This window comes from Homo sapiens, chromosome 11, assembly GCF_000001405.40.
Source record: "Homo sapiens chromosome 11, GRCh38.p14 Primary Assembly".
In the NCBI taxonomy this organism is placed as follows: Eukaryota; Metazoa; Chordata; class Mammalia; order Primates; family Hominidae; genus Homo; species Homo sapiens.
In genome coordinates, this window is record NC_000011.10 from 124,664,547 (window position 1) to 124,673,382 (window position 8,836).

At 41.9% G+C, this 8,836-nt stretch overlaps 1 protein-coding gene across 3 annotated transcripts in view; it reads right to left on the reverse strand.

Annotated features, from left to right (window-relative positions):
- The window catches only part of SIAE (sialic acid acetylesterase), a 43,191-nt gene that overhangs the window by 31,434 nt on the left and 2,921 nt on the right, over positions 1-8,836 (reverse strand). For all 3 annotated transcript variants that reach the window (NM_001199922.2, NM_170601.5, XM_047427133.1), the window contains one exon: positions 4,814-4,975. In NM_001199922.2, coding sequence (NP_001186851.1) covers positions 4,814-4,937 — 124 coding nt within the window. In that variant the 5' untranslated portion in view covers positions 4,938-4,975. The remainder of the gene's footprint in view (positions 1-4,813; positions 4,976-8,836) is intronic.

Sequence of the window (8,836 nt, forward strand, 5' to 3'; positions counted from 1 at the left end):
TTCTTATTGTTGCTCTTCTTCTCACATTCCAGCCAAGGGCAGTGAAAAACTCTCTGTCTCCACCTTCTCTCCACCTCCCAATTAACTCCCACCTCATAATGGGAAGAACAAGCAAACAATCAATGGAAAAAATGAAAATAATTTGTCTAGAGACATAGTCATAAAGTGCTTTCTTGTTTTTTCTTCTTGCCATTCATATCAGATGTTAATTATTTTGTTCTATTATTGTGCCAAAATCTGATGCCAAGAAGAGAAAAAGGAAAGTTATCCATGACCGTTCCCTTCCCGAGAAGAACAACCTAGAAATGAAAAAAGCGCCCCTGTTCACTTCCCCCCCACCCCCACCCAACAGAACCCTAGTTCCTCACTGGCTGCAAAGTGGCTCAGTGGTTTGTGGAACTGGCTTGGAAGTCAAGAAGGCCTTACTGCCTACACTGCCCCTCACCAAACTACATTTATTCTGTTGTAACCTGAAGTTCATCTCCACCATCAAATATGAATGCAAAGGAAAAATAGCTTAAGTGCTTTTGTATCAATAAAACTGCTCATGCAAGTTACTTACACTATAGCCTGTGGTGGCAGACACAGCCTAAGGTGACACCCCAAAGTCACATGCTTGTGTGGCTGGCAGAATCTGTGACTGGCTTCCAACCAACAGAAAATGGCAAAGGCAATGAGATGTCACTCTTGTGATTAGATAATGTTATATGGAAAAGATGGGATTTTGCAGTTGTGATTAAAGTCCCTAATCATTTCACTTTAAGTTAATAAAAATTGAGATTTTCCTGGGTTGGCATACATAATAAGGTGAGCTCTTTCAAAGAAGATATAGAGGTCAGAGATGTGAAACAGCAGAGGTGCTGCCATGAGCTCAACACCTAAATGAATTCTGCCAGCAACGTAAGGGAGCTTGGAAACAGGTAACTCCCTACTCGCACCTCCAGGTGGGAACGCAGCCTGGCCTACACCTTGATTTCAGCCTTGTGAGACCCTCAGTAGAGAATCCAGCGAAACCATGACCAGACTTCAGACCCACAGAAATTGTGAGATAGTAAAAGCGTGTTGTTTTAAGCACCTAAGTTTGTGGCAATTTATTATGTAGCATAGAAAACTAGTATGCAAATTAGCCAGGCATGGTGGCGGGTGCCTGTAACCTCAGCTACTCAGGAGGCTGAGGCAGGAGGATCACTTGAACCTGGCAGGCAAAGGTTGCAGTGAACCGAGATCACACCTCTGCACTCCAGCCTGGGTGACAGAGCAAGACTCCATCTCAAAAGAAAAAAAGAGAAAAGAAAAAAAGAAAATTGGTATGCATGCCAACCAGGGGCAGGGAGGGTTTTAGGCTTCTGTATTATTTTAAGGTAGAGAAAATATATCTATTTACCTCAATCATGATGACAAAAATATAGACAGACACACCCTCATTTTATCACCTACATACACACACCCCTACCATGTATGTCAAAGTGAGAGGATATGCCTGGTTTTCCCTGCTCGTATTCCTTGTGTCTGAAAGAATCCTCTTACATCATTTGACAACATCGTTTGAACCAACCCAGTACCTGACCATGGTGCCAATCATCCCTCAGGTATTAATTTTCCCAATGTCTAAGTGTCAGTCTGCTGGACAAAAACCTTTATGCTGTTATATCTTACTTTGTTCTGGGTACCTAGGGGACTATGGGTAATAAGTTAAATATTACCAGAGGCAGACAAAGCAGCAAATTGAGGTAATGTGGCTGAAAATCTCAGAGTCCTCATTAAAATCTAAACCAGAAATCCACCCTCCAATATTCTCTGTGGTATCTCTTTTGAGAGACATTTTCTGCCTATGAAATTTCTTACATGTCTACCTCCTTTACTCCAATTAACACTTCATCTATTTTGCTTGATGGGCAGAACAAAGCAAGATACCCATTGAAGCAGGTTTGCAGATCTCTCTAAACTCAAATACCTTCCCCTTTTCTACCAAGTAAATGTGGAAAGTCTAATAAATAGGTCCCCACCACCACCAATAACATCAACCTCTTTTCCTGTGAAATTATCATCAGTATCCATGAATCACTCAATTCTCTTAAGTTGCTGCTGGTTATTTTAACTACAAATGAAGGATACATCCCTTTGCAGTGAGGCAGCTGGAGCATTACTTGAGCCTAAACTACTAAATGTGTAAGGATGGAATGGGGCAGTGAGTTCTTGAAAGATGGGCACTATTTGTATTCTTCTTTATACTTTCCTAGGGTTTCTGGCTCAGTGTTTTAGACATAGTAAGCCCTCACTTGGCTTTTATCAAATTAAACTCAAGATAAATGAGCAGCTTCACAATCACTGTAAAGGAAAAGGGAGGCTTCCCTCCTAATTATTACCTTTCATTCCACCTAGCCTCCTGCCTCATCTCTGCCCACCTCAAATATTAGTTCTGAAACAGGCATGAAGGGAGAAAAACTCTAAAAATAATGCAAAAGGATTTTTTAAACTGAAATGCTATGTAATATTGTATGCTTTCTGTATGTATTTCTACAGCACTGTGTTATCTCTGTCACCTAAATATTATTGGTAACTTAATTGTTAGCACCATGTAAATCCCACTTCTTATTTTTAAACCACAGCAGTTCTTTGGATTTCCAAATCAGCATCATTTACTGAGAGTGCCATTATTTGTACACAATGCTCCTTATTTCTAAGGTGACCCAGCACAAACAGAAAGCACTGAGAGTCCCTTGAATCCTTCACTTTCAGGACATCCTGCAAGTCACTGACGGCATTTAGATCCAACAGAGAAGCATGTCTCAATCAGCTGAAGCTTCCCTTTCGGTCTTTTAGTTTACCCAACAACATTCTTACCTTAAAAAGTCTTAAAACCCAAGAATTAGAAGCACTTACCTTACATCAATGCCTGGCATATAGTATTTTTAAATGTTTGCTGAATGGAAATGAATTTTGAAGAGACTGCATCAGGGTCTGGATCACTCGGGATTGGATCATCAGTTTTGTATACTGATAAAACCAACCAGACAATCCTTGCTTTCGGGGGCCAGTACAATTCCCACAAGCATCCCTGTCACATATATATGCTAGCCATTGCTCAAACCACCAATTTGTACCTGAACTCCACCTCCACCTCTGAGCAGCCTCCTCATCTGTCTCATTCGCACCTCCACATCACACAGCTATAGCGCTATCTGTAACATCCAGCCCTGAGCATGCCTTCCTTCATCCCATAACTTCTAGCTTTGCCTCCTCCACACCGGCTTCTATATCTTTATCTCTTCTAGACAGAGACTCACTCCTTTGTAATATCTCCCTGCTCATGAAAACTGCTAATTCTCACCTTCCTGAACATCCCCACAGCCACTCTATGAGGTCAAACCCTCATCATCTCTTGCTTGGATATCACAGCAGCCTGCCCACCACCTCTATCTTACTGATCTCCAATCCATCTTCCACAGTGCTGCCACAGCGAACTTTCTAAAATATCTATCATATTCTTTTGCTGTTTAAAAATCTGTCCGTTTAGAATAAAACATACACTCCTTAGCAATGACAAACAAGTCTCCCTGTCTTTCCAACCTATCTCCTGTCATCTGCCCAGTCACACACCCCCCAGTGTTCCAGACCAACCAACCTGCCTGGCATCTCTCCCATGGCCCAGGTACACTCAGGCCTCCATGCTTTTGCCAGGCTATTCTCACTACCCAGTGTGCCCTGCTCACCTCTCAAGATGAGCCTCAGACTACGTAATTATCCCTACTCTCTACAAAGCACTCCCATCGCACCTTGTTCTTCCTCACTGTGGCACTTATCACACTTAACGATAACTGCTTACTATCTTCCTGTCTAACCTGCATGCCTCATTAAGGAAGAGGACATATCTGTTTTACTCATCACTGTATCACCAGTACCTAGCACAGTATCGGGCACATAGTAGGCTCTCAATAGATATTTGAATGACTGACTAAATAATAATAGTAATAGTTACAATCATGACTGCTAAAACTGACTCTGCACTTGTGTGCCAGGCACTGTTACAAGTCTTTACCAGTGTTAATTCGTTTAATTCTCACAGTAATCCTGTAGGTATCATGACGATCTCCATTTCACATATAAACTGAGACATGGAGATGTTATATTACATGTCCAAGATTATTCAGCCGTATAAATGACAGAATCAGGGCCTGAAAGCAGTGACTTCCAGAGCCTTAGACTACCAATATGAAGTCTTACATTCTTACATTATGGCACTCTCAGTAAATGATGCTGACTTAGAAATCCAAAGAACTGCTGGTTCTAATATATTGGTTTAAAAATAAGAAATGGGATTTACATGGTGCTAGTCTTGGGTTTTAAGACTTTTTAAGGTAAGAAGGTAAGAAGGTTGTTGGGCAAGGACTACCAGAGTTCTTACCCTCTCCTCCATACTGCCTCTCCTCTATATATGATTCAGCTCAAATACCATCTTCTGTGGAAACCTTCCCTTACCACCCAGTCTGAGTTCAATGTTTCTCCTCTGTACCCCAAGACACCCCACATGTACCTTCATCATAGCATTCATCACGCTGTCCTATATAACTTGGTATCTATTCCCATTATTCTGTAAGTTCCTTGAGAACAGGAACTTTGACTCAGTCTTATTTTTGTTTGTATCCTCAGTGCCTAAGCACATGGCAAATATTCAAATAACTTTTATGGATGAATGGACAGACGGATGTAGGGACGGATGGATAATGTGAGCTACAGCATTAGCATTCATTTTCAGATAATCCAGCAGGTGGCAGAAGAGGGCAATAGCTGAACGGAAGATGGGCTGCCTTACCTTTCACACTGGTCACTTTCTTCATGATGGTTTCCTGACCTTGGCGCAGGGTCACGGTCACTGTGGCTCCAGGTGTACCGAAGCCCCATATCACTGCCCCAGCAGGCTCCTTCTGCAGCACCATATCATTATTGATGTATGAAGCAAAGCGAAAACCAATACCTAAAAAATTTAACAAACACTGAGGGAAGCATCATCGGAGAGATATAGCACCAACTGGATCAAGTGAAACAGCAAAGAACATACAGTCTTTATGCAAGAGAATTTTAACATACTAAGTCCCTTTAATCGTCTAAAACTGGCTCTTCTTCCTCCTAATTAGGCAAGCAACATAACAAGAACAGTTTCCAACAGTATGCATCATAGCACATGATGACCACTAAGGAAAATTCCCAGAGCCCAAGGCAACCAATGGACCATAGTCTTCCCTCTCCTTCAGAGCTCTTGATCTTTTTTTGCTCTTGGGCTTGGCCCTAACGCTGGGCTCTCTCCCGCAAAATCACTAAAATGCTCCTTTCATGCACCTATAGATGGTGTTTATGAGAAAAATAAACCACTTCCTTTCCCTACTTTCCATTACCACACCTGCTCCTAATGACTGGGAATAAAACAGCATGCCTCTCTCCAAACAGCCTTCCCTAATCTTTTTCCCCTTCTCTATCTCCCCTTTTCTATGCCACTAATGCCAATTTCCTTCAAATAATGCCCCTTATCATGGTTTTTTGACAACCCAGTGTACTGCATCAAAAATTCTAAATAAGCCCTTATAAATACTCATGACAAGTCAGCTTCCTTCTCAGGTAAATTCAAATAAATCAAGACACATAAATAAGGTCAGTGAGAGATAGAAGGTCAACATGTCTGAACAAAGGTCTTCTGTCACAATTTTACCCATTCCACAAGCTAAATTATACTAAAAGGACAAGAGAAAGCACACTAGAAACTGGATTCTATTCTAGAGAGTCACTAACAAGACTGAATAAGAACTCGCTTTAACGACATCATTCCTATTTTTAACATCCAGCCTATATAAAAGTATTTTATTAATACAAACATCCATCCAAATTATCTCAGCGTGTTCCTCATCAAAACTTAACAAGGAAAAAAATAAAACAAATTATATCCCAATTTATCTGAATAAAACAGACCCCAAACTACCTAAAATAATTAACAAAATTTAGATCTTTTTAAGCATTTTAAACAAAAATGATAGGCAGAAAAGAGAACCAGAATTAACAAGGCTGACATTTTCCTCCCTGGAAGCTACAAATGATGAGGGCCCCTTCGGCTATACTTAACAGGGCAGCACAGCTAATGGAGTCGCCTACACAGCTCCGTGGCCTATTTATCCTGCTCTTGGAATAACAGCCCAGTCCCTAAAAATCCTCAGCGCTCTCTTATGAGCTAGTGTGATCAAGAAACCTACATGACAATGAAAGATCACCCAGAAGGCCTACTGGGCTGGAGATGCACGGTTACCATGAGCAAAATGCTCTAAGAAAAGAATACAACGCCCCAGAATTGCATAAGCAGGTTGGCAGCCTGCTGGAGGGAAGGGGGAGGCACATGTGTGGGAGGGCCTTGTCTTGGGTAGGTGCTTCATATGGAACCAAAAAAAGGAAAACCACAGACATAAATAAGAGCTAAGTAGAGAGAGGGTGGGGGTAGGGGAATGGCTGCAGCTTGCACATTTGTGTGCAGTCAGTAGTCCATAGGCTAGGGGAAATACCTTCCCAAGTCTGTCTGTTTTCACCAACATACACTTAGTGAACATCTTTGTGGATGACTCTGTGCTGGGCTAAAGAGTTTTAGAGGTGGAAAGGATCTTCATAATCGTAGTATAAACACGCTACTTACTGATCAAGAAGTATAATCATATTACTGATCAAGTAACTGAGACCAAAGCAGATGAAACAATTTTTTAAAATAGCTTGCATGTTCATTAGTTAATTCAACAAATATTTATTGATGCCTACTATTTTAAGCATTGGGGATATAACGATGAAAAAATAATAATAATAATAGCAGGCAAAAATCCTTGCCCACAGGGAGCTTCCATTCTACTAGAGACTTTACCTGTGGCAGGCACAGTGCTAAACACACCACAAACATTAATGTTCTTTGGTCTCAAATCACACAGTTTATGACAAGTTAGAAAACAAGTCACTTGATTCCAAAGTTGAAATTCCCACTTTGCCGAAATTAGATACTTGTGGCAAATCAAAGAAAAAATCATATTCCTCATCTTTGTAAAGTTTAAATTCTAAGTTCATTAGAGTAGACAGTGGAACATCAAGGAATTGTGCAATGGACAAAAAAAAAGAGAGAGAGAATGAGAAAGAGAGCAAGGCTGGTCATTCCTTGTGCCAAACACAAGACACATACATTTACCATTTGATTTCTTGTTTGTTTGTTTTTTTGAGACAGAGTCTTGCTCTGTCACCCAGGCTGGAGTGCAGTGGTGCGATCTCAGCTCACTGCAACCTCCGCCTCTGGGGTTCAAGCGGTTCTCCTGCCTCAGCCTCCCGAGTAGCTGAGATTACAGGCATGTGCCACCACACCTGGCTAATTCTTTTTTTTTTTTTTTTTGATATCTTTAGTAGAGACGGGGTTTCACTACGTTGGCCAGGCTGGTCTCGAACTCCTGACCTCATGATCTGCCCACCTTGGCCTCCCAAAGTGCTGGGATTACAAGCATGAGCCACCGCGCCTGGCCAATTTTTTTGTATTTTTAGTAGAGACGGGGTTTCGCCATGTTGGCCAGGCTGGTCTTGAACTCCTGACTCTAAGTGATCCGCCCACCTCAGCCTCCCAAAGTGCTGGGATTAAAGGTGTGAGCCAACATTTGGATTTTTTAGGTCTTCAGTTTTTTCCTTCATTTGGGGCTGGAGTAGAAAAACAGGAATTAGTGTTATGGGGAAGAGAGGGCAGTGGTTGCCTCTGGTGAGGAGCTCCGGATGCATTGGCGAGGAGCACAATGGCAGGCTCAATAGACTGGCAATGTTCTAGTTCTTAAGTTGGGTACTGCTCTCATGGGTGTTCATTTTATTGTGTCATTGTTACATATAATTTTGTACATCTCAAGCATTACATGGTAAACATGGGCACAGGGAGAATGACTTAAAGGAAAAACGTCAGGATACGCAACCAAGTAGAGTACTAATGAATGAAAAATGTGATCAATGTTAATGAAGGTGATGTAACAATAAGACCCAAAGGAGGAGATAAAATACTGACACTAAAATAAACAGCCTTTAACTGAAAACCTAATAAAATATCTTTTCCCCACCTCATAAGATGGATCTCAAAGGTCACTGAGTGGAGATAAGAGTCAGGAAATGGCATACAGAGTGCTAGCATTTTGCACTTTTGTTAGACTCTGAACAATCATTTATGGGCTGCAGTTTGTCTGAATCTAGGTACTTTTCCGGCTCTCAGGTAGAGCAGGAGTCATTTTTCTGCACGCTGTTCTCCTACCCCAACTATCATTTCTTAACAGGGATCTCTGGGGTCCACTCTTTGAGTGTTTTGAAACAGAAAGGAAGAAATCCAACATTATCACTTTAGTTTGCATTATCAGACAGATTGCACCTTCTGCTTTCTCCATACTGTGACCCAGTGTCCAGCCTAGGGTATTCGAATGGCAAGATCTGACCTGCGCAACAGCCAAAGGGAGCCACCAGCCTCCCCTATGCCACTCACATTTTCCCACCACCAATATCTGTAAGCGGTACCAGAAATCAAAACTGAGCCTTAAATAGTCAGAGCTAGTGAGGGGGTTGTATTTCTTAGCCCTGATAACCACTTAAACGAGTAAAATTTAATTCCCCTAAGGAACCCCGCCTGAAGCAAACCCTCCCCAAGGGCACCACTGAGGGGGTAGCGCTGAAATGTTTTGGAAGATTCAGTCACCTGTTTCCAAATATTACCTAACTAGCTTCGCCTCCTTCCCTCCGAGCTCCCCTGCAGTTACTCCAGGACCCCGAAGGCCTCTTTCTGGGCACATTTGGGCCTCCCCACTCA